Source organism: Homo sapiens, chromosome 11 (assembly GCF_000001405.40).
Source record: "Homo sapiens chromosome 11, GRCh38.p14 Primary Assembly".
NCBI lineage: Eukaryota > Metazoa > Chordata > Mammalia > Primates > Hominidae > Homo > Homo sapiens.
The window spans coordinates 26,827,515-26,855,247 of NC_000011.10; the positions used below are offsets into that span (position 1 = coordinate 26,827,515).

A 27,733-nucleotide genomic window follows, 5' to 3' on the forward strand; every position below is an offset into this window, starting at 1 on the left:
TCAGCCTTCCTATAATGGACATAAAGTTTTAAACTCTTATGAAGGCCTGGCTTCCCCACCATTGGGTCAGCCAAATATATTGGGAGCTCAATCGGCCCTCCATCTGCAACACATTCCTGAGCACGTTCCCCGCAGATGCCGCATGTGGGTTCGCCTTTAGGCCATTTCCTGACAGCTGACATGCAGTTGACAGAGAACAGGGATGTATATTTTGGTGCAAGTCATCCTGCCTGCTTGGCTATATTTGCCTTGTTTGATAGTTTTCACTTTTCAGGATGACCTCATGTTAGAAGCTTCTGGATAATTAATAAACTCCTTCTCTGTCAGCCCTTTTCTCGTTTCCTGTCAATTTCATGTGCTGTTTCTTAGCTAAGTTTAATCATTGAAAGAATAACCCAAATGAATTAGTGGACATTAGGCTACAGATTAACAATTTTCACGCCTGGCAGGTCTAGCATTTAGTAGAAACAACTCAACTAATATTCGAAGGCATATGTAAACATTTACTTTACGGTTTGGTGCCAAGTTTCGGTGGAATATTAATTTTTATGGACATAGTAATAAACTTGTGCTACTTTGGGGTGAAAAAAAAGGGCATAATGGAAACACTGACATATTCCTGGAAAATTCTGTCTTACCCAACTTAAAACTGTAAACATTTTACTAACTAAAAGGCATGGAATACATTGGGTAAACTGGGATACATTTTGTCATAAAAAAATTTCAGTAGAATAAGTTTTGTTTCTTCAAGCCAATTAGCAGTGCTAAGTGTCATGCTCAAACAACGTCTTTATCCAAATCTGACACACACAGTTTAATATAATTAAACAGTGAGTAGTTCCCAGATGCTAAGATTCATACAAAAGCAGTGAAGATGGGGAAATTACAGCCCTTCTCAAAAAACTTCATTCAACTAGGTTCTTCTGACATCCTGAGAAGTACCAGAGCACTCCAGACCTTGGAGGAATGAATATTCATGACTGGACAGAGGGCATGGCTGATGTTATAGGAAAGTCTCAACAAAGGACATTGACCTTTGAACTTGAGGTAAGATAGAATCTGTTCCTGAGGCACCAGAGAACTCCAGGGAATATTCTCTGATTGTTTAGTGAATAGAGCATCACGGAAATCATAAGGGTCATATAGGGTCATTCTGTGATATTTGGACCAAACATTGTGGTGCAGTTCAATGTTTAGGACTCAAAGAAAAAAAAAATGTTTTTACTAAAGTTTTAATTTTGGACTAAGTCTAGGCTTTGAGAAGTTACAAGGAACAAAAATGCCTTTTAGGGATTTTTTTTAAAGCGTATTTTGGGGAGAATTTTTAAAAAATAATGTTCCATTTATTTAGGAAGCCTACATTTAATTAGTTCATTTTGCAAGCTTATTTATAACATAGACTCAATTGGTGATTTCTTAAGTTAAGATTTTTTTTTTTTACATGGGTTACTCTCAAGCTATCTTTGCCCATTCCAAGCTATGTTTAGATAATGCATAGTAGGTCACATTCTCCAATATCCTGGGAGGGCAGGATTTTTTTTTTTTTAAGCTATTGAAAAAAAAAAAAAGCTAACCAGGCAAACTTAATACACTTAAATTATCAACATTCGTGGACCAACATTCTGGAATATGTGTTAGAGCTCAACTCTTCATTTCTTTGTGAGTGTTGTACATGATTAGTAAACATGAATTAAGATAGACCATATATCATTTAAGAGTAAAATTTTCTCTCATCTTTTAAATCAGAATAAAAATCCAAATGTGAGCATTATAGAGGGTCAAGGAACTTAATTTCTTTAAGCTTCAACTTCTTGAAAAATAAAATATATAATTTTATTTTATGAGAATGAAATAAGATGACATGTAATTTGCTTAGCATAGAACATAACATATCAGTGCACCCGAAAGATGCAGCCATTTTATTAGAACAAAAGGGCTGGACTATGTTTTACTGTCATGAAGATAGCTGTGTAGGGTCTCCCCATCTTGATTATATTACTCAGCTGTCCTGTTGAGGCCCAAGGATCATCTTAGATCCTCATATTGCTTGCATATGGGGACACAGAAGTCTGTGTCCTCTGCAGAGTCCACTTTTATTATCCACATGTTGCCTCTTTTCATGGACTTTATCTTTGCTTTATCTCTCTAATTTTGGCCTCACATCCAGAACTTCAAACTCACATTTTCCTCTGCAGTTATGCAGAGTCTTGCAGACTAAAGGGACTGTCTTCAACCTAACCCAAACTGCCTACATGTTGTACTTCTGGTCGTATTCTTTTGGAAACATGTAAAATTATGACATTGACAGAGTCTAAAGTTAAACTGCTTAACTGTAGCTGGTTACCTTTCCCAACTCGACTTTACAGATTTGTAGCTCAACAGTCCCTATCAGAAAATGTTCTCTACTTCTTATAAAGGTGGGCTAGGTAGGAACTTTTCCGGAGTAATCGCTGTTAGAGCACAGGTTGGCAGAGTTATGGTTTAAATGTAGCTCTAGTAAATACCTCAATAGTGTAAGGAGACACAGAAGTTAAGAGCACAGGCAAGTTTGAATTTGACCCCATCTCCATCACTTACACGCTATGTAATGCTGTTTAAGTGATCTGTCCTTTAAGCAGGACTTTTTCAGCTGGAAAAAATGGATAATTGAGGTCCTTGCTGCATAAGGTAATTGTGAAGATTAAAGGAGATGTGGATACCACATGGTAAATTCTTAGTAGATGCCAGCAATTATTAAGGAAAGGCAATAGACTTGGTTAAGTATTATAATATCTTTCTAAAATAGAGGCTGCCTGAAACTTGAAAGTTGAAACTGGTCAGGGACTGTTCTTCAGGTACAAAGAAAACTACAAGGATATATTTTTGGTGATTGGACGGGTAGTGATAAGGGTTGTTAGATATGGCATGGGGACTTCCTTTAAATGGCATGGTTTTCATGACACTAAGACTGAGACTCTGAGAATGTGTCAGGATTCTGAAATAGGGCAGAAAAAATATTTGAGATGTGTGTAGTAGTAAAGATAGACAGATACCTTTGGGAGACAGAGATTTAACAGTGGGGCAGAAAAAAAAAAGACAACCTGGCTGTCAGATCAGTGAACTAACTCATCTGCTTAAGTCAAAGACCCACTGGTTGCAGAATGGAAGATATTTCATGGCTCCAGTGAAATGAAGTTCTGTTCAATAGATGTGGAAAATAAAAAAGAATTTTGCAAGACACCTATCTTAAGTCAGCCAAGGAGCTGCAAGTGTTGAGAGCTGTAAAATCTGACAGCAATCAAAATTAAAGCTACTTAGCCACATTGAGGGGATGACTCCATGATCTTCATAATGGAGGGTTATATTTCATAATTTTCAGAAACTCCCCCTGGCTGCCTGTCAAGCTGTGCATAAAAGGACTTGTCTGGGTCATTATTGCTTTGATTACTGCCAAGGGAGCCAGTGGTGGTTGGAGTATGAGCAGAAGTAGACTGGCATTTTATTACATAAGATTTGTGTCAAATCCAGCTCCAGTTACTCAATACTATTTCAGGATCTGTCCACTTTACAATAGTTTTCACATGTGGCCACATATAAAAATCTGAGCTTTTCCTTTGATGATTACATGTCTTTACTACAAAACCAGTATGTTCTCAAAGTTTACCCATGAGATCTGTGAGGTTTAGAAGCAAGACAAGTAGATACTTTAGGCTTGATATAATTCATGTGTATATTTATAATCTGGCCATGTTATATGCTTTCTTTTTTAATTTTAAAATTGAAGTATTCTACTCCCTGGATTTCTGAAAGGATACAAAAAGACAATACATTAGAAAACCTTTGTGAATGTTAGTGATTGATGAAGGAGTAAGTTGTCTTATGAAGAATTATTGTTGTTGCTTGTTGTTATGGGCTAGTTACATTCAATACTAGCTTATATTTTGTGAAACAAATATGAAAAGTTATATCAAGTGCAGCTATATCTGCTGTGTCCATTTTAAGGATGTAGGATGTAGCATAATTCAGTAACACAGAAGCCCAGACTTTGAATCTAGAAAAAGTTCAAGGAGTTTGTGATTTTAGTGGCTAGGGTACCAGAGTAATAACTCAGAGTAGAGCCTCTAACTAGACAAATTGATGATAACCCAAATTGCTTTTAGGTCTTCGCACAGTTTTCTCCTTCCATATCAGAATTCTCACTTCCTTCTCTTACCCAGACCTAAATTCTTACATCCACAGCTCTTAGGAACTTTCCTACTTTATTACCATTTGTATATATGTATTTTCTCTTCAAGAAATGGTAACTGTCTTGAGCGTAAGATAGTTATAACATTTAATTCATTGTTTTGTCTCCTGAAGTACCTAGAATTTGAACTTCTGTTCAAGAGCTAAGCTGTGATAGACCGTCAAGTTTTCACTCACCAGGATGCTTTCTAACTTTCACCACAGATGATGCCCAAAGCTTTTCCTGAGACTTTGACCTTGAAGCTTTGATGCCCACTCTAGGTGTCACCCTCCACGTATGTGTTATGTAAAGCTTTATATAGTTCTGATTGACTTCACAGAATTGACAGTCTAGCAGTTGGTTCCACCTTTTCTTACCCTCAAGCTAGGCTGTTTCTCTTGACTCCTATTCCTAAGGATAAATAAGGCTCTTTCTGTCTGTGTTCTTGGAATAACCGCCGAGCTACCCTCTCTTCAGCCTACTTGAGCATTAAGAAGGTTGTTTATTTTCCCGAATTCTAAATCTGTTATATTTTAATTACCACATAAGTTACATAAGGTCTCCTTTTCCTTATGTGATAGTTATATTTTCCCATTTTGGTAGTTAGTATACTTTGAACTACAAGTAACAAAAATAATCATAATGATCAACAATTTAAACTATCAGAACATTCATAACCTCAGATGGAATAAAATTCAGGTTTGTTTCAGTAGCTCAACCAAGTCTTTAGGCTTTTCACCACTTGGACCCAAGATGGTTGCTGCTATTCCAGCCCTCTTGTCCTCTTAAACTGTGTAGAAAGTTAGAAAGAAAAGTTAGTTTCTTCTTATGCATAGAGAAAACACACATAAATAGAGGAGAAATAAAGGAGAAAGTCTTTTCTACACGTCATTGAGTAGACTTTCTCTTAGGTCTTTTGACCAGGGTTGGGTAACTGACCATTGTAGTTGTCAGAATGATAACCTTCAAAAATATATGTCCATGCCCTCAGCTCTGAAACTTGTGAATCTTACCTTATGCAGAAAAAGTATCTTAAGCAACTTCAGATGAAGATAGCATCCCAGTTTGCCCAGATGAGCCCTAAATCCAATAACAAGTATCTTTATAAGAAACAAAGAGCACTTTGGGAGGCTGAGGCAGGCAGATCACTTGAGGTCAGGAGTTTGAGACCAGCCTCGCCAACATAGTGAAACCCTGTCTCTACTAAAAATAAAAAACACTAGCCGGACTTGGTGGTGGGTGCCTATAATCCCAGCTACTTGGGAGGTTGAGGCAGGAGAATCGCATGAACCTGGGAGGTGGATGTTGCAGTGAGCCAAGATTGCATCACTGCACTCCAGCCCCAGTGACAGTGCGAGACTCCGTCTCAAAAAAAAAACAAAAAAAAAAAAAAACAAAGAAGCAAAGAGAGGAAAAGAGAGAGGACAATATGATCATAGGAGTGATTGAGATTGGAGTGATGCAGCCACACTTCAAGGAATGCCCACAGCCCACAGCTACAGAGGCTAGAAGATGCAAAGAATTATTCCCTAGAGACACCAGGTGAAATGCAGCCCTGCTGACAAACTGGATTTCAGACTTCTGGCCTCCAGAACTGTGGGAGAATAAATTTATGTTTTTGTTTGTTTGTTTTTAATGTTTTTGTTTTTAATAGACTTTGTCTTGTTTGTTTTTAATAGACTTTATTTTTTAGAGCAATTTCAGGTTCATAGCAAAATTGAATGGAAAGTACAGAGAATTCCCCTATACCCATCATTCCCAAATAACAACCTTCCCCACTATCAACATCCCACACCATAGTGGTGCCTTATTTGTTACAATGGATGAACCTACATTGATACATCACTCAAAGTCCACGCTTTGCCTTAGGGTTCATTCTTAGTGGTGTACATTCTACTGGTCTTGACAAATGCATGATAACATGCATCCACTATTAGAATATTGGACAGAATTGTTTCACTGCCTTAAAAATTATCTGTGATCTGCTTATTTAACCCTCTATCCCACTAAGCCCTGGCAATCACTGATCATTTTACCGTCTCAATTTTGCCTTTGCCAGAATATCATAAGGTTAAAATCACACACGTTTTTATTAGGGAGGGTTCTCCAGGGAAATAGAATCAATTGTGTGTGTGTGTGTGTGTGTGTGTGTGTGTGTGTGTGTGTGTACACACAGAGAGAGAGGGAGGGAAAGAGAGAGAGAGAGAGAGAGAAGTTTATTATAAGGAATTGGCTTATGCAATTATGAAGGCTGGCAAGTCCCAAGATCTGCAGGGTAAATTGGCAAGCTGGAGACCCAGGAGAAAACAATAAACAATGTTTCTGTTTTTAGTCCAAAGACAGGAAAATTATTGCGTTTCAGTTTGAAGGCTGTCAGGCAGGAAGATTCTATTCTATTTTGCAGAGGGTCAGCCTTTGTTTTCTATTCAGAACTTCAACTGATTAAATTAGTCCCATTCCATCCACTTTAATGGAGGGCAATCTGCTTTACTCAGTCTATCAATTTAAATGTTAATCATATCCAGAAACACATTTACAGAAATACTCAGAATAGTGTACGACCAAATATCTGGGCTCCTCATGGCCTAGTCAAGTTAACACAAAGTTAACCATCACAAATATCACAAATATACAGCCTTTCTAGATTGGCTTCTTTCACCTGGTAATACGCATTTGAGTTTCCTCCATGTTTTATCATGGCTTGAAAGCTCATTTTGTTCATCGAATAATATTCCGTGGTCTGGATATGCAACAATTTATTTACCCATTAACTTACAAAAGGACATCATGGTTGCTTCCAAGTTTTAGTAATCATGAATAAAGCTGCTACAAACATCTATGTAAAGGTTTTTGTGTGGACAAATGTGTTAAATTCATTTGAGTAAACACCAAGGAGTGCAAATACTAGATCATATGTTAAGAGTATGTTTAGTTTTATAAGAAAGAATTCTGTTATTTTAAGCCAACAAGTTTACTCTAATTTGTTGCAGCAGCCCTAGGAAACTAATATAATCATCCCTATGTAAAATGAAAGCAAGATAGAAATATGTACCTAGCAATTTGATCCTACTAGAGGAAATGAGCTCAGTCTATAATGAAAAATAGCTTTGGAAATGGCCTGTGGCAAGGAAACTAACATGTCTGAAATATTCAATGGTTTAAGATCCTGAAATTGTAGATTTGCAAAACTTTTTCCTCCTTAAAATTTCCCTGATACTAGAGTAGATTTTATTTTGACTTCAAAGGCCAGAGTCCTGTGAAAATACTAATAATAACCAACATTTATATAAGTTTATAGTTTAGAAACCACTATCTTTCTGCATGAACAAATTACCTCCAAAAACATCCCTGAGAAGCAAATATAAGCTATTGTGCTCACTTTGTGGAGGGTAGTAGAGAGCAGTACATAGAAGCATAAACTATGAACCCCAGTTCTGGGGCCTATGATTTGGCTAATCATGGCCACACCACTTATCCTCTCTGAGCCTCAGTTTTATCATCTATGAAGTGGAGTGAATGCAAGTACTTACTTCATCATGCTGCATATTATGATGGATTACAAATATAAGAGGGTTAAAGCATAGTAAGCACTCAATAAATGTTCATGGCAATTTTAATCATTGATATATTTATTATTGTAATAATAATTTATCACTATTGTTACTTCAAATATGTGAAAACTAAAGCTGAGGAAGATTCAATGACTTGCCTAGGATTAATAAAGGGCAGGTATTCTGGCTCCAAATCCCTTCATCATATGGTTTCTTATGTCAAGAGGGTAGAATAGATATTTAAACCTTTGTAAAAATTGGAACACTTGTACTATCTTAAATGGTGTCAAGGAGAAACTCACCATATGCTATAAATAAAAAGAATGTAGGCCAGTACTCAAGACTAGCAAGGCTCTGGTTTAAGCTTTCATGTGGATGCATATATAGTCCATGAAAACAATGTTATTTTGATATTGTCCATCTAAAAAATAAGGAATTGGCCTGCGACAAGTCAGAGCATGTGCTGTTTTATGTCCTTTCCCCAAAAGACACTTAAAATTTTGGGCAGTAGACTAGGAAAAGATTATGCAAATAAATTATAGTTGTGGAAAACACATGAACATATTTGAATACATATGCCTAGCCATACGTACAGAATTATAGCGTTTTTAAATTTGTATTTTCAGGACAGCAAACAGTATCATTTTACAAATACCATGGAGACCTACCATGGTGACACTTCAGAGTGGGAAACTAACATGCTGAGGCATTGAATTCTGTTTTTGATTACTTATTCAATGAATTCTCACAATAACACTGCAAGATATTGCCTATTATTACTCATTTTATGGATAGGGACACTGAAGCTCATAGAATCCCTGTGATTGTTTCCTAAGTCTTTCAACTCTCAATGGTGGAGAAAAAGCAGAGTCTTAATTTAAATCTTGTATTATTAACAATATCATTTTCCTTGGAGGTAAATTTGGGTGTTTTGTCTGATGAAGTTATGTTGTTTAATACTTTAGTTAAACTGGAATACATATGCCATGAAGCAAAGGCCAGGAAAACCTAATTACTCCACAAAGCCATACATTCATTCCTGATCTGAAGTCAACCCTGCCATTCCAGTTAGCAGTCAAGGCTTCAGATTATGGGCCAGTAGTGAATCTGGGCTTTGTTTCTGGATGGTGGTGGCCATGGGGAGCCTTGCTGGAATTTTTCTAGGATTTTTATGCCAACTTAAACATTGGAGGTTCAAGAGAGTATTCCATGGGCTTGAAAGCAGAGTGTGAAAACCTACAATGCTAAAGAAATGTGTTTTAGAAAAGACACAACCAAAACATAAAAGTTACATTTTATACTACTCTATAGAATGGAAGTTGCCTTCCAAAAGGGAAAGAAAGAAATCCTTATGGTTAGATTACATATAGAGCTCAGAGGATCTACAAAGGTCTTTCATTATATATAAAAGATCTACTTTATAACTTTGACTACTGGTTTTATGACTGTTTAAATAAAATTATCAGATAATCATTTGCACAAAAATGAAATTAAAGGCATTTCTATCCCCAAAGAAGCCAGACATGGATGAGAAAAATTTCATCCATTTTTCCAGAGAAGTTCATTGATATAGTTTTCAAACCCCAAATTATCAGAATATAGAAGAAAATTACTAAAGTTTTATTCATTAGCTATTTTTTAATATAGTGAGTTGCTTATTGTGCATTTTAGCGAGTCTCATAATCACTCTCCAGAGACCTGAGTGTATCTGAATTAAAAATTTTTCTTCAAAAAGTGAACTTAATTAGAAAGTACATGAACACACACACACACACACACACACACACACACACACAGAGTAATGGAACTAAAACAGCTGATACTCATTAGAGGGCAATTGACATTGTGCTTCCACAGGATAATTATAATAAACTAAGTCCTGGTGGGAGACAAATGAAGATTTTCCCATAAGTTGAGTAACACTGGTAGTAGAGCAAAGAGAGTGGAAAATAGAAACATTTAAGAACAAAATCCAAAATGTCTTGGGAATCTAAATTTCAGGTATGTAGATTCTCGACTCCTATTTCCATAGCAATTCCTCTCAAACTTTCATGTGCCTATGAATCACCTGTGCATCTTATTAAAATACAGTTTCTGCTTCAGTAGGTTTGAAGTAGAGCCAAGATTCTTTATTACTTTTAGGTTGGTGCAAAAAGTAATTGGTTTTGCCATTAATGGCACAATTACTTTTTGCACCAATGTGATAACAGTCTCCCAGATAATATCAATGACGCTAGTCTCTTGTCATGGGGTGGCCAACCTACCCAGTTTGCCTGGGAACTATGAGGGTTTTTCCTAGGATATGGAGTTTTTAGCTAAACCTGGAATGGTTCTAGGCAAAATGGGATGTGTAGTCATCCTATAGGACCACATTTTGAATACAATAACCCTAGGTTATACCTGAAATTCAACAAAATAATTTCTGATCATGCTCAGATAATAATTGTTTATAATTGAGGACAAGAGGTATATAATTGTTTATAATTGAGGACAAGAGGTACACTCACAGGTTTACCCTAATCACAAAGTCAGCCTTTTGGCAGAGAAATGTGAAGTGTGTAGTGCAAGAAGTTAACTTTAGCAATAATAAAACCCAAACCTAAATCAACTCCTCTCTAGAATGACTGAACCATCATATTATTGGCCCAAAAGTAGAAGTGTAGCCATTTCCCAGTAAAAATATTCTCTCTGTCTCTATCATGAGGTCCACAATTCAGTAAAAAATTTTGAAATACACAAAAAAATTTTGAAAGACAAAAATTAATGAATCCAGACTCAGAGATATTGACACTATCAGATGAGAACTTTAATGTAGCTATGATTAACATGTTAAAGAATCTAGTGGAAAACCTTAACAACATGAATGAACAGATGGGGAATTTTAGTTGAGGGAATGAAACTTAAGAAAAGTCAAATGGAAAAGTTGAAATAAAAGACATTATATCATAGATGAAGAAATTCTTTATAGAGCTCATCAGTAGACTTAAGATAGCTAAGGGAAAAAAAATCACTAAACTCTAACTGGGTCAATATTTAGCCATAAAAAGGAATAAACTATTGATATACTCAACAACTCAGATGGACCTGAAAGGACTGATTTTGAGTAAAAATGAATAAATAGAAATTGTCCAAGCCAAAACATTGGGAAAAAGAGTGAATTCAAACAACAACAACAACAACAACAAAACCCAGAGCACTTAATGTTAATATTCTAAGGTAAGTGTAATTGGTGTGCCAGAAAGAGACAAAAGAGAAAACTGGACAAATAGATATTTTGTGATAATGGCTGAGAATTTTTCAGAAATAATGAATGACATCAAACCATATATCCAAGAAGCTTAAATCTATTTACACAATAAATAACACAGACACACACGCACACATACACACACACGTAAATACATCATAATTTAACAACTGAAAACTAAAGACAAAGAAAAAATTTGAAGGCAGTCAGAAAAGAAATGCAGCACATATAGAACAACAAAGATATGATTTACAAAGGACATCTCGAGCATATGCAAACTACAAGACAATAAAGTAACATTTAAACTACAAGAAGCTTAAAAACTCCAAATATAATATTCAGCAAAACTATCCTTCAAAAATAAGGCAAAATAAGTAATTTTTCAGACATACCAAAGATGAGAGGATTTATTGCCAGGAGTCTTGTGCTTCAAGACATGTTATAGAAAGTTCTTTAGTCAGAAGAATTACGATACAAGACAGAAATGTATATCTATACAAAGGAATAAAATGTGCCTGAAACGGCAAAAATAAAGGTAAATATGATATCAAAGACATTCTCTGTATGTTTCAGAATTGAAACTGTATTTGAATGCCTAAAGCAAAATAGTAATAATGTATTATAGCATATATATATAGTACAATGTATGACACAAAGGATGTGAGAAAGGAATTGGAATTATTCTACTGCAAAATAATTGCACCATATGAGAAGTGGCATATTATTTGAAATTAGACTGGTAAATTAAAGATGTACATTGTAAACCCTCTAGTAACCACTAAAACAATGAAAAGGAGAAATAGCTAATAATTCAACAGTGTATTTTAAATGGAAGCACAAATATAACCCAAAAGATAAAAGAGGCTGGGCACAGTGATTCACACCTGTAATCCCCTCACTTTGGGAGGCCAAGACAGCTGGATCACTTGAGCACAGGAGTTCAAAACCAGCCTGGGCAACATGGTGAAAAAAAAAATTAGCCAGCATGATGGTGCGCACCTGGCCAGAACTGTGAGAAATAAATTTCTATTACTTTTAAATTACTCAGTCTAAGGTATTTTGTTATAGCAGCAGGAATGAGTTGAGACAAGTTACTTACAACATGGTAGCTAGCTTCTCTCAGAGAAACTGAGGGAGAGGAGAGAATAAACAGACAAGAGCAAGGCAGAAGCCAGTCATTTAATCTCAGAATGTAAATCCCATAACTTTTACAGTATTCTCTTTCTTAGAAGCAAGTCACTAGGTTCATCCTACACTTAGGGAGGGTTACCGAAGGGCATGAATACCAGGAGATGAGGATCATTGAAACCAACTGAGAAACTAGTACAAAAGGGGAGAGAACTTTTAAGAAAATAGTTAGAAATAAGTTTAAAATAAAGTCCCTGAGAGGAATAACCATGGAACTTCCTTCTTGTTCAAGATTCACTTTAACTGTTACCTCATCTGTAAAACTGTCTTGACCTCCCATGCTTCTCACCATAAGAGAAAAGTAAGTCATTAGTTCTGTTTCCTACAGTGCTTAGTGCCAATTCTATCCTGGTACCTATTACAGTGGATCATAATTTGTTGACATGCCTGTCTCTCCCCCAAGTATGTGAGAGGTTATGAGGGCAAGCACCACCACTCACTTGGCTTGCTCTTGCTCCATGAGTATTTACTGAATTAATGAAGCTGTAAATTCCAGATCACTGGGTAGTCCTTGGAGGACAGACTGAGTGAGAATACTGAGTATCTAAAGGTTAAGTGGGAAATATTAGGGCTAGAGAATATGAAAGAGCACAGCATAGAAGTGGCTGAATATTCAATCCTGTGCTAGAAGTCTTTCATTTGCTCTCCAGGTCCAGGCTCCACATTTCTTCCTCCCTCTTCTGTGCTCTAGGAGCCTAAACCCAAGCAACTATAGCATAGGCTCCCTAGCCCTCTGGCTTCTAGTTATACTCTGCCAATGGGGGACACCAGCCAGAAACCAGAGGCAGGAACATAGTGTAGCAAGGTATTCATTTCGCTGGATGGTTACCTGCCAGTTTTCCACACAGCTCGCTTCAGGCCTCTTCCTCCGTACAGCTTCCCTCTTTCTGGCTCCTGGTAACTCTACTCTGCCCTGGTCTCTTTAGCTCAGTGGCAGTCCCAGCACCCCCACTGTCACTGGCCCTTAGGGAAGACACTAGACTTTGCTATGCTCCCTAAACCTCGCCCACATCTTTCAAAATAGTGCTTTTATTCATTTCTACTCAAAGTGTCCACTTTGAGTAGAGCCACCTGTTTCCTGACTGAACCCTGACTGAGAGTTCCTATAGAGAGCCAGCCTATTCTGGAATAATAATAGCAAAAATAATGGAGAGAAAAACTGATGTTGCTGCATTCTATGTATTTCAAAGTAGTAAACAAAATAAAAATTGTCCCTGGCCTCACAGAGCTTGTGGTCTAATAGTCATCTCTTCAATCATATCCAGAGGTTTGTATTTGTTTTTTTTTTTTCAGATTCGGGGTTTTAATTGTATTTTTAACCGACAACTAGTCATTGTATATATTTATGGGGTACAATGTGATGTTTTGATATATGTGACATTATGAAATGAGCAAATCAGGCTAATTAGCATATTCATCACCTCAAATATGTACCATTTGTGGGGAGAACATTTAAACTTCCAGGCTCAAGGGGACAAACACCATATGATCTGACTTACATGTGGAATAAAAAAAAAAATCAAACTCACAGAAGCAGAGGGTATGCCAGAGGCTTTGAGGCTGGGGTGAACAAGGAAGGAGAGATATTGGTCAACAGGCACAAAGTTTCAGTTAGATAGGAGGAATAAGTTCTGGTGTTCTACTGCACAGCAGTGACTATAATTAATTACAGCAGTGTATTGTCTATTTCAAAATAGCTAAAAGAACCAGTTTTTAAATGCTGTTAGTAAGATCAAATGTGAAAGATCTGTTTAAACTCCAGACAAATCATCTAAGACTTAGGAGGAGAAAAGGAGAGGGTTAATTGTTACCTACAACTTGTGGGATTATATACTGCAAGGGGTAATAGTCAACTCACTACTCAATAGGGAGAAAAATTTTAAAAAGAGACTAAAACCAACATAGAAAATTGTGTGTAGGTTCATAATAAGTCAGGCAGGTATAGTTGAAGATGCGGATAACAACTAAAAGTTATCGAGCTCTAACTAAGTCCCAGGCACTTAGATATTTGATTATACTTGTTCCTCACAAAACACTCTTAATCCTCACAAAATATTACTTATGTTTTAAATATGGGGAAATTGAGGCACAGAGAAATGGAGACCCCTGCTCAAGCAGTCAGGGGGTAGGGAATCTGAGTATAAGCCTGGGACCCATCCTCTTAAACATGACTCTAAATTAAGTAAGGATAAAGGAAAATATTGTATTACCTAATTGGTAGCATCAGGCACTAACACATTCTAAAGTACTTGGTCATCTAATCCGAAAATAGTTTAGGGTGCTTAAAAGGCTTTTAAGCATCAGTCATACACCAAAGATCTTTATTCACTGGAGCCAAGAGGCAGAAAGTAAGTTCCAGTTTTCATTTATTCATCATTTCACTCTGCCCTTGGACTCAAAAGAGCCCATGCCACCTCCTGATGGAAAAGCCCAAGTTACGTTTGGGAATTATAATTTCTCTTTTTCTGATTCTACTTACTGGCAGGGTAAAATATGTAGAAAAAAAGTGTTCCTCCATTTGCCTTCTTAAATACTTTCTCTTGTTTATAAACCTAACAATCATCTATCAGCAATGCTGTTTCTACCCTGCCAGAACAAGGCCTCAGGAAACCATTTCCTCTGGAGCAATTCCAGAAGGGCTCAGTGAGCACTCAATACCTTTTACACTGATGGACTGTATGGGTTTCTTGCTCTCAGCCCCTGTAGGATTTGCACATTTTGTTTTCATGCCCATCACTCATGGACAGAAGTAAAAATATGCTATTTACCTCTTTCCACTTATGTAGACCTCACATTTTGTTTCACCTTAGTGGCAGTGAGGGGGGAGTTTTGTTCACATTTAGCAAGTCTGGGCTGCCTATTGTGCACAACAGCTATTGCCCAATTGCAGTTTATGGAGAGTCTAGAACCTTTTTTTTTTCTTTTTATGCTACCAAGGGATTAATGACAAAAAAATTGGCAAAGAAATTGCAGTCTGCAAGTTATAACCAATATGAGTTGATGAAATCCAGATGTGAAAATCTCCCTCCACCATCCTATGCCTTCCACAATATAGGTGTATGACCTCGGTGAAGGCAGGGCTTGTAATTGCTTTTATTTGGAGACATGTGGGCTCTGCTTCCCCCCAACCCCCACCTTCTTTTCCCACTTTGAAGGAAAGAGTGACTTGAAATGTATTTTTACACTTACTAAAACGGATGTGGAAATAAAACTTTAATTACTGGAAAAACTATTAAGAAGAAGTATATTTTATTCTTCCAGAGCCATGAGTTTTTCAGAGCAAAGTTGTCTTAGACCACTTCAGTTACCACAACCCCAGGAATCAATGGAAACCTCACAGACTGGGCAGAGTCTCTGCCTTACCCTCACAGTGATCACTGAGATTCAAGGATGGAATGTTCTAACACATGGCTCATCTGTCTTGCAATTTAAACCTAATTAGACTAACTTTTTTCCCCCCAATTGCCCTGCTTGTTTCCATGGCAGTGCAACAATCATTCTAAAACTTGGTGGCTTGAAACAATAATAATCGTTTTCTATCTCTCACAATTTTATGGGTCAGGAATCTAAGAGAAGCCAATATGGGCCTTCTGACTTGGGGTCTCTGATGAGGTTGCAGTCAGACAATGGCGAGGGCCAGGATCATACTGAAGACTTCCTCCCTCACATGTTCTGATGTCTGATCTGAGAGGACTGTAGGCTGACTTATCTGGGACTCCTTGGGCATCTGTAACGCTATGGGGTGTCTTCACATGTTCTCCCCCGTATGGGGGCTTCAGGGTAGCTGAATTTTTACATGTTGACTTAAAGTTCTGAAGATAAATGTCCCAGAAAGGTCACAGCCAGGCTAGGAAGACATAGTGTCACTTCTGGCATCCACTATTAGTTGAGACAGTTATGAAGGTCCATCCAGGCTTGAGGGGAGGCGTGGAGAGAGAGGGTAAAAATCCTGCCTCATGATGGAGGTCTATCGATATTATATTGTAAGAAGAATGTTTGAGATGGTTATCTTTGAAAAAATGCCACAGTATGCCACATCCCTTAAGAAACAATATCCCTGAAAAAAAACAACATGCTACTCATTATGTCAGATTTTTAATATCTAACAGACCTAGTTGTCTGACTACAACTTGTTAAATCAGTTAAAAGTAGAATTTTAGATATTCAGTTTTTTTATTGCAGAGCTACTCTAATTGGAAGCCTATACAGAGGCAAGCTCTCAACAATTAATTAGGAATCCATGAACTTGTGTGGCATGTAAGAAGCATGGTTATAATATGGTTATAATAAAAATGGGAAATAAATTAAGATCTTTGGGCATCTACTATGTGTCAGCCACTGTCATACATTAGTTACCTAAATTATAATCATTAGTCAAACAAACATTTATGAAATGTCTCCAATCTATCAATACTAGTTGTGAGGAAGATCAATACGATAGACCTCATTCAATTCTCAGGAAGTGGAACAACAGAAACTCAGATTCTCAATTTTATGTTATTTCTTCTGATAAGCTTTATTTTTATGGATTTTACACAATAATAGGATGCCAACTTTCAAATTATTGGATGGACTCTAAGTCTACCTGAGTATGGAAAAGGGATTGGTCAGAAAAGACTGGGCATTCAGAGATGGTCTTCATCTTTATCCTTAGGTCTATGGAGTGAAACTTGAAGCAGGAACTAGGCTAAAGGGTGGATAAGTAGAAAGAGGAGACACAAGGAGAATAGCATAACTAAAAGTGAAAAGACCAGTGTGTATACAGCCTTTGTTCCAAGAGCAAAGAATAGAAGCTAAGTAATATTTTGAGTGTGATGTCAACATTTCAGTATTTTATTTTCAATGGCATTCTTTTTTTAGCTTGTTTGGTAGGAGCAAGTACCTAAGTCATTATGAGAAAAGACAGATATAACCCTTCCATTAGAAAATAAAATTTAAAAAAATCATGATGGTTGGGGACTAACAAACCATTGACAAGTACTTAGCTTTTAATTTTCTATATTTTTATATTTCTCAGTGATGGCTGTTGCTCTTCATCTATCACTTGTTCAAAGCACACATTTAAGATATTAATTACACCAATAGGATGAACAGGAGGTAGAGAAATAGTAGAGGTTTGTTGTGTTTTCTTATCTACATGTGAACACTGGGACCTCATTTCTATAAGGACAAGAGAATTCTGTGTAAACCAGTTTGAATGGAATGAATATTCATAATAACAATATCAATTACTATTTATTTATTCATTGCATAAGATGCACTTAATTTTATACTATAACCCTATAAAGTAGACGTTATCATTTCCTTTCACAGATAAGGAAACTAAAGTACAGAGAAGTTAAACAGGCTACCCAAAGTACCAGCTAAGAAATGGCAAAGGCATTATTTTGAGCCCGTGCCACTTGACTCATTCCAGGATGGTGCTTCAGTATGGAGGTGTTAATGCTTTGAGTCATTGTCCCAATGGGAAGATGGTTTTCACTAATGCAGCCAACTACTATGATGGTTAACACCAATCCTCAATCCAGTGGTTCTGGCATCACCATTTACTAGCTGTTCAGACTTGAGCAAGTTAGTTAACCTCTGTGTAGCAAAGTTTATTAAGATTAAATAATTCATATGAAACAATTGTAAAAATGGCTACCCTAAAGGAAGTGATCAATAAAGGTGCTATTACTACACTAACATTGCTTTATTATCACTATATATTTACAAGACAACTGGCTAGTATTAGAGGTACAGTCTGGTCTAAAAGCAAAACAGAACCTTCCTTAAAAAAATGGTTTGGAATCAATAACAAGTTTATCTAGTTGATGGGCTACATGGTTGAAGAACCTCTATAACTAGTCATCAGTATTAACTGTTAAAAGGGTAGATACCATAGGAAATAACTGTCGATAAATGTGTAGTCTCTGCTTGCAGTCCCATCATATGATGGTCCCATCACAGAACCAACTGTGATTCTGCATAATGAATTTCTATTTTTTACCATTTGAAGCAACTTGAAAGAACGATTATTGCCAGAGAATAATTTTTTGGTGCAGAACTTGAAAGAAAAAAATGTGACAAGGAAAGGGAAAATTTCTATAATTTTACCTAAAGTACAGAGAATTACAGTTATTACTAGGAGAGAAATTATTTAGATACGTTTCTTGCCCTTAAAAAAATAGTGTTGCCCCAATAACATACAGGGAGCCCAGTTGAATTTTAATTTTAGATAAACAATACATACTTATTTAATATACATATGTCCCAAATATCTCATGGGGCTTATTCCTACTATGAAAATATTTTTGTCCTAAATACAAATTTAACTAATGTCCTATGTTTTTATTTGTCAAATCTGACAACTGTGCTTAAAATGATCATGATTAGTCATTATCTAATGAGCTCAGGTATTTTCCCATTTGCTAATTTTACACTTAAGTGTGAGGCAGTATGTAATGTCAAGCTCAGGAAGTATAGAGCCCTAGGCTGTGTATGATGTGAAGTGAACAATCATAATAAGGTGTGCAGACTGAGTTCAACCTCCCACTCTTATCTCTTATCTTCCCTATCATGTACCCTGCATTTCCGTTGAAATGTGAAATGTGTTGATTCTATAATCCTAAACTTCCCTTTGCCCATTATTCACTTTCTTTTCTTTTCCCAGGAGTATCCTTCCCTGTCATCTTCTTTCCATCAAATTCCTAACATTCTTCAAGGGCTATTAGAAATGGATGCTTGCTTACCTATCGCATGTCATAGAGTTGTGTGGCAAAGATCATGGTTTTTACAGTGGAATGACAACAGAAGTGAGGTATTTTCTTTCTGGGCCAGGGTGGTCAAGAATAAGTATGCCTTCTCCACTTTTTGTCCTCTTTTATTATCTACAGACAGACAAGCATGATGATCTTGGAAACTATGTTGAAGATGGGGAACCGACAGGATGAAAGGATTCTGCGTTTCTGTATCACACTTTTGAGGAGAGGTACATGAGGATCAGAAACACTTGTTAAGAATGTTACAGAGCCAAGAAATTAACACGTATTTTTTTCTAGTTTTGTTATTGTTTAGTGTTAGCCTAACTAATATAGGCCATAATTAATTGTTTCTTACTCTGTGAAGCTTTTGTACATTAAATAAATAAGAATATCATTAGGCATTAAATACAAGTTTAAGTGCCATGGATTTTGCATTGGAAGAACTCACTGAGTAGTAGACACGCAATTATAATAAGGAATTACATTTTTGAGGGCTGTGTTTCACATACTGTGATAGTCACTTTACCATATTATTTCATTTGATTCTCATTTTAAAAATGCCTTTAGAAAGATGTGATGATGATGATTATTCCCATTCTACTGATAAACTGAGACACAAAGATGTTAAAAAATTTGCTGAAAGTCAGAAAATGAAGTATAGAAGTCAGGTTTCAATCCTAGGCAATCTGACCATGCTGAATCAATATTGAATTTCACTATGAATAATGTTATTGTATGGAAGAGTAAGATCACAAATAAAGGCTGGCTAGTTTTACTGGAGCAGGGTTATCCAGAAAACTTGCTTGGAAAAGGTAATTCTTGAGCTGATTATGAAAGGATAAACAATTATGGAATTATAAAGGCCTCACATGTCATACTCAGGCATTTGTATCTACCCCCCAAAATGGTGAGGAATCCTCGAAGTGCTAAGGGAAGGAGTAACAGAGTCAGCTTCATGTTCTTTCCAGGATTCTTTCCTGATATTTTTGAGAAAATATCCTTACCTGTCCTATAGTGCAAACACTTGTTTTTTTTAAGGAACTCAAGGAAGTCAATTCTTTCATGAAGACTTTACTGGAAGGCACCTACTTGTTCTGAACTCTTTGTGCTTTTTTGTTGTTGTTGCTTCCTTTTTACTGCTGGATCTCTGAGGAAACATTCCAGCATGTCACCATGTCAGTAGCCAAATCAGACCGATGATGAGAACAGCATGCTATATTAGTAACAGAAAAACAAGGCTGTAAACCCTGTTTCAAAGACTTCATGTTGCTCTTGGCTATCGCTGGGGAAAGGCTTGAGCCAGGCATATGAAGTACAAAAGCACGAAGGCTGCTTCAGATCTGTGATTGGGTAGCACAGAAAGACTTGAAACAAGCATTAAGATAAGTTCCCAGAAGAGTTTCTGACATGTAGTAGGCATTCAATTAATATACTTGGAATGAATGAAGATGAAAAGAGACTCTTTCCTCATCCCTGTACTGGTACCAGTGGCTATAAATTGCTCCGCAGGTTCTCCTTAACCATGTGTTATAGGTTGGGGAGAGGTATCAGGCAGGTGGGCAGAAGCAAAGGAGAACATTTACCAATAATCTGTTACCCTAAGATTAGACTTCCAAATGTCTCATCCACCAAACATGAAATTAAAAATGAAAGTTGAAAGATCTTTGTTAGGCCAAAAGTTAACAATTTTGCCTTGTAGAAGAGATTGCACCATTCATATTTGGCAACAGTGTTAAAGATTATATGACTAGGTTGGACGTTAAATATGGTGCTAATTAAGCCAGAGGTCAGGGTTTATTCACTGTATGGGCCATTTGATTTTTCTGTGCCTAGCACATTGTAGGCATTCAATGAATGCTTATTTATTGAAACAATATAGGAAACAGAACTGTGTGGTATGCAAAGGAGACTACCTATTTAATATGCTTGACAGGCAGTTTCTCTACAGCAAACTAGGAGCAAGAGGAATGAATGAGGCAGTGTATTGTAGGTGACATTGATTCAAGCAAGTAAGGAATGTCCAAATATTGGTCTTGCACCTTAGCTGTGGTATGACATTAGGCAAGATGCTTGGTCTTTCTAAGCCTTTTTTTCTTCTATAAAATGTAAACATTTTCACCTGTATCATAATGTCATTTGAGGATTAAATTAGCTAAGACAAGTAGATATTTGATAAATGTTAGTGAGAAGGGAACATTAAGTTTGAGGCCACTAAGCCCCAAGGACAGAGCTGATCATCTCCAAGGGCTCACTAATTAGACCAAATGGGTTGTTCATGGCCATCATCCAATTTGACTGGTTAGTTCTATTACTCGCCATTACTAAATATTTTGCCTCTCATTTCTGCCTTAGGAAATCATTATATCACACAGGGCAATAAATCAATACCTTTTAACTATGACCTCAGGTCATGAAGGAGAGCAATGAATTACATTCCAAATGTTCTAAGAAGAAAGTAGGTAATGCCTTTAAAGGAAGATGTTGGTCTTCTCTGAATGAATATTTTCCCCTACAGATCAAATAGTTAATCATGATTTATGTGGGCAATTCACTTGCTAGAACGTTGAAATCCCTGATGAGGCTACATCAACGAATGTTCTGGTGGTGGCTATGCCTCATTTACTCTTAAAGGAATATGCTCCAGGAAAGGCATAGGTTCAGATAAAAAGCAGTCTTGGGTTTGTTGAAATGAAGTAAGCATTGAAGCATCAAGGCAAGAGCTCCTGAGAGCAGGGCTGGGGTGTGGCCTGAGAGCAATGCCAGCAGGGTCTTATGTAACAGAGGGCCTGTTTAACTCCAGCAGGAAACGCTACGTCCAGACGACACCCTGCTTCCAGACGACTGCCAGGTAGCAGGCTGACTGCCTCTTTTCTTCTCTCTTCCCCATGAAAGGGAGACCCAGAGCAGAATTTTCCCTCACAGCCTGAATTTATTAGATTTTTTTTCTCCCAACTATGCTGTGGAGGTTGAATTGCCCTCATTCATAAGCTGACTCCAGACCAAAAGAAAGAGACAGCAGGATCCAGCTATTGCACCTAATAAAATGTGTCCACTGGAAATCATGAGAGAAAATTGGATGAACGATTCTAAATAATAAGGGTCCTCAGGAACCTGCACTGGAATGCCAACACGTTTTACAGGTTTGGGAGTATAAAGATGCTTTGAGCTAAGCATTAAAAATAAAATACCCCCTCACCCTTGATCACCAGTTCATCTCTGGTTTCTGATGATTCTCAAGAGATTTCTTCTCTCCAGAGAAGAAATCATTTTTTTCTCTCTCTCTCTTTTTTTTTTTTTTTTTTTTACGGAGTCTCGCTCTGTGGCCCAGGCTGGAGTTGCAGTGGCACGATCTCCGCTCACTGCAAGCTCCGCCTCCTGGGTTTACGCCATTTTCCTGCCTCAGCCTCCTGAGTAGCTGGGACTACAGGCACCCGGCACCACGCCCGGCTGTTTTTGTTTTGTTTTGTTTTGTTTTTTGCATTTTTAGTAGAGATGGGGTTTCACCGTGTTAGCCAGGATGGTCTCGATCTCCTGACCTCGTGATCCGCCCGCCTCGGCCTGCCAAAGTGCTGGGATTACAGGCGTGAGCCACCGCGCTCGGCCCAAATCCTTGCTCTTTATAAAGAAGAAAGCGGATTGAGCTTCAAGGCAGATCAGTGGGAAGGATTTGAGAGTCTGGATTGGTTTCAGCCAGAGCCCCTACTCTCACTCTCTCAAAGCCATCTCCTCCCAGCCCTGCTCACCAGCACTGTTCATAATTATCTGCTGTCATGATGCTATTGCTTTTGGCAATAAACACTTAGCACGTTGCTACTGGTTTTTGCCAAGACAACATGCCCCACTCAGATTTATGATCTAAAAGATGCAAGACTAATTTTCACATCATAGTTCATTCCATAAAAGAATGTGGTTGCATAAAAAAAAAAATCCCTCCTCTCTCACCATGTCCACCTCCTCTCCACCCCATGCTCCCCATATCCAGGACAAGCTGTAGAATGTATAAGTGGAAATGCAAAAGCTTTGTTTGGGGAAAAGGGCAGAGCCTTAATGAGCTGCGTGTTTGAAATCTGATTTAAGGTTTATTTCTTTTTGTCAGAATACACTTTCTTTTATTCTTCCAAAAAAAAAAAATCAAAGGTAGAGTCATAAATGAAAAAGAATTTCCCACTGACACCTGGTAGTCCTTTCCACCATCCTCTGTTTGTGCCTTTTGAGCACCTCTGCTCTTCCTCTGCCAAGCATCTGTTTTATCCAAGTCAACATGGCAGAGAACAAAGGCTGTAGGAGCAAATGTACTTGGGTTCATATTCACTAAACCTCTTTGAGTTTCAGTCTCTCTATTAATACATAAATCTGTAGTTGGCATAAGAATACCTTTTCTTCATGGCAATGTGAGGGTCGAATACAAACCTATGCTAAAGTGTCTGATAAAAGATTGACACTTACAAAAAAAATGCTAGCTTCCTTCTGTCCTTCCCTCCCGCACTTCTTTACATAGTACTTCCCCTGTGGGCTTCTGTATCTCTTTTTAGGCCCTCTTTTCTCATCCTGAGCCATCCAAAAATGCCGCTGACACGAAACCTTCCCATCTCTAATTTGCCTGTTTCCTCTTCCAGTCTCTCAGAACATTGTTCTGCCTTTTGTTGTTCTGACAGCCTAACCTTAGTTAGAGAAAATTGGATGCACTTGGTGAATATATTGCTTCTTTCAGGTGACATCCTCACTTTAATATAAATGGAGGCAATGGCTTAATCCAAATCCTAACATCCTGAAGTAAATTACCTTGGCAAATATTTATTGAACACTAATTAATGCAAAGCACTGAAGTGGATGTAGGGAAAGATGAAAAATAGACTCAGGTCTCGGGTCCTTACAGAATTTGTAGTCTGGTATGAAAGACAGACATATAGAAATAATTATTAAAAGTTTGGATTCCAGAGAATGTTAAAATAGGAGTTGAACTAAGAGTCATGGGAGTATATGAAAGAAGGAGATGAATTCCAGCTGGAGAAATATAGGAGCTACTATGCGGGAGGCATGTTTGGGCTAAATCCTTAAGGATGGGGTTTGGGAATGGCATGAATAACTTGAGTAAAGATCCAACAGCTAAAGAATGCATAATGATTTTGGAATAGTAAGTTGAATATGTTTTTTGTAATAAAAGTTACAGGTTGAGAATATATGCATCGTGAAAAATAAAATTATAAATCAATAAAATTAGTTGATGGCTCTGCTTGGCAGCTTAAGAAATCTGCTTTTTACTTGCAGTAAAAATCTATTAGGAATTCTAAAGCAGGAAAGGTCATGATTATTTGTTGTGTTAAAAAGACCACTCTGACAGCAGATTTGCATTGGAATCAGAAAAGCTGGTAGCAGGATGACTAGATAGAAAATGGTTACTATAATTTAGGGCCACTGTAACAAGGCAATAGTAGTCAGAGGGTAATGAAGTAACAGAAGGCAGGAACAGATGGAGGGACATTTGGGAGGCAGAGACAACAGTGCTTGGCTTCTTCGCGAAGTGTAGAGAGTGCCGAAGAAGAAAAAGGAAGGTTAATCTAAAGTTTTGTTTTTTGTTTTTTGGTTTTTTTCCTGGAAGACCAAAAATGTAATAATGTCGTCAGCAAAATAAGTAAGTTATGTGATTGGTTTGGGGCTCGCAATAGAAGAAATTAAGTGCAGGCAGACCTTTCCTAATCTTGGACAGCTTTAAACTCACTGGGTCACAATTTTCTCGTCTACAAAGTAGGAATCATAATTCATGTTGTAGTTTACTCACAGGGTTGCTGTGAAAATGGGGGAAGGTCATGAGTGTGGCTATATTTTCTAAGCCATCAAATTCAGTCACAAGTAAAAAATCAATGAAACCATTCAAATCTCTTACTTTTTCCATAGAGACAACACTATGTAGGACAGCATGGAACTTCCCACACATAGAACAATCCCTCACCTGTAAGGAGATTGGTTGTTTAGAAAGGAAATCTTTTCTAAATTTTTTTTTTTTTTTTTGAGATGGAGTCTCGCTCTGTCGCCCAGGCTGGAGTGCAGTGGCGCTATCTCGGCTCACTGCAAGCTCCGCCTCCCGGGTTCACACCATTCTCCTGCCTCAGCCTCCCAAGTAGCTGGGACTACAGGTGCCTACCACCACACCCAGCTAATTTTTTGTATTTTTAGTAGAGATGAGGTTTCATGGTGTTAGCCAGGATGGTCTCGATCTCCTGACCTCGTGATCCGCCTGCTTTGGCCTTCCAAAGTGCTGGGATTACAGGCGTGAGCCACCATGCCCAGCCCAAATATCATTTTTCTTTACCTGATCTAGCAGTCTGTGATTTTTCATTGCCAGAGTGTTCTGGATTGAATCAGCTCCATTTAGGATTTTGACCAAAAGATTTCCAAATGGAAAACAAAAGCCATTGTTATGAAAGCCTGAAATGTCTCCACTTCCTGCAATTGGCTTACATATGAGTACTTTAGTCTTCATGGAATAGCTTAGAAGGGGCCTGAGACATGAAAGGGAATTATATTTAGCAAAACCAATGCCATAAAACCTTCTTTACTCTCAAACTGTGGAGAGGATTTGCTATGCCCACACATCTAAGTGTCACCTGTGTGTGCCTTCTTAGAGTTGGCAACAGTCTGCTGAAATGAGATACTTAATTGGGATCCTGGGAATCTTGAAGTTGCTAAGAGAGTCAGAGAGACAGCCTTCAGAGAAAATGTGATTATGATGCTTGATTCTCTGCTGGAAATGTGAGCAGCTGATGGGGAAAGCAGTATGTGACAAGATGCTACCCCCACAAACGTGGTTAGGACATGGAGACGTATTCGTCTTAGGTCTAGAATTACATGTGTGGCATTTCCTTCATCCAGTTAGGTACATGTGTATGTATATATGTATGTATTTGGTTTATTTATTTGTTTACTTACATCCAATTTTATTCCGGTTTTGAAGCAACTGTAAAACCGGTATTAAAGGGTAAAGTAATTAGATAGGAAAACTGTAACAAAAAGAAAGAAAACAAGTTATGGTGATAGCACAGAGAAAAACAAACCACGCATCCCTGTCAGACTTGTCATCTAATTCTGGCTTTAATTCCTTGGTAGCCAAAATAAACATCAAAGCTTCTCAGTGTGCACGGATATTTCTACTGTGGATCCTCATAAAGGCAACACCCTGGAATACGGCGGGCACCATCTTCAACAACTTCATTGTAGATACCACAGAACGTTTCATCTGATTGTTTCACTGAGATACCACAGTTCAGTGTGTATAAAGATCATCGTTGAGCCAATCAACAAAATTTGAATTCAGGCTGTAGATGAAAAGTACTGGATCAAAGTTAAACTAACTAAAGTTAATAGCTATTCTGTGGTTACGTAAGAGAATATTTTTATCCTGATGAAATATACACTGAAATATTTAGAAGTAAAGGGACATAGTGTATGCAGCCTAGTTTCATGTAGTTCAGGGGGAAAGGAGAGGAGGATAGAGAGAAAATTTTAAAGCAAATAGGGCTATATGTTATCAACAGGTAAATCTGGGTAAAGGGTATTTGAGTATTCAATATACTATTCTTATTCTTGCAATGTTTCTACAAGTTTGAAATTATTTCCAACTAAAATACCTTTTTAAAAAAAGGAATAATTTTTATTAGAATTTAAATGCAAAATTTATTTAAAAAGAAGTACATGCAATAGTGCATGTTAGAAAGTTACAGGAGTAATAAACACCATTTTGATTTGTGAGTGAAAATTTTTTTCTTTTTAAATGTGTTCGATTAATTTATTCAAGATTATACTATATATATCGAAATATAAAATACCTGTAAAAATTCACAACCATTGTAATGATTTTAGTTTTAAGAATATAATTTTTACTGTTCATTTTTATTATAACACTGATACATTTTTAATACAGAAATTTTAGAATACAAAATTTTAGAATGGATATTTTGTGCATATATATCAGATGAAATTACTGGTAGTTTTATTTTATATATTTATGCATATTTGGTGTGCATATATATTTAAAAATATGAAATTATTGCATTATACAGTTTTGAAACTTGCCTTTTATAAACTTGATACAAATAGCTTTCTATAAAATGTAATCCTTCAAACACCTGGATGCAATTCTTAACTGTTACAGTCTATTACTATTTATTTTCTTCTGTGTAAATTATTATTTGAGCTGTTGTATATGAAGATGAAAACTTAGAAGATAATACAACTACCTGTTAAAATTTATAAACTTCACAAGTCTTGCTGAATTATTTGAATCAACTATGAGGAAAGCCAATAAAGTTTACTTGACAAAATTTAACCTCTATGCCTCTATTTAGACAGAATAGCTGGTGGGTGATAGAATTTCACTTTATTAGCATTTTATCTCTCCCAATAAATGTTAATAGTGCTGGGAAAATGAAAGGCAATTCATATTTTCTTGTGCAACCTTTCCTAGTGAATGGAAATTCCAGTTTTCAGTTGACTTTGCCGTTTGGTTTTCAGTTGAACTTAAAATTAGAGATAGATTATCCATAGAAAATGAAAGCATGAGTGGAGAGAATTAATTTCTAAAAGCTTAGTGAGTTTTTTTATTCCAGCATGCCCAGGTAATACTTTCATGTGCATATGTTGGGAAAAGCAAGAAAAATTTCTGATAATGTGTTATTTCTACCAGAGTTCTAAGGAACTTTACCAGTGATGATTACAAAAAGAACATAGTAAGGCCCCTTTTCACTTGGGAAATAATTGCTACCTTCTCATATTAACAAGCTGTTCTTCATTGCCAACCAGGCAT

General features: G+C 37.0%; 1 long non-coding RNA gene across 2 annotated transcripts; it reads left to right on the top strand.

The window, feature by feature from the left end:
* Positions 1 to 779: 779 nt before the first annotated feature.
* On the top strand, positions 780 to 27,256 carry LOC124902649 (uncharacterized). 2 transcript variants are annotated; one of them, XR_007062629.1, is made up of 3 exons: positions 780 to 1,047; positions 18,843 to 19,160; positions 26,038 to 27,256. It is a non-coding gene; the product is annotated as an uncharacterized LOC124902649 (long non-coding RNA). The 2 variants fall into 2 exon arrangements; XR_007062628.1 differs by having other exon boundaries at positions 19,066 to 19,160.
* Positions 27,257 to 27,733: the final 477 nt, after the last annotated feature.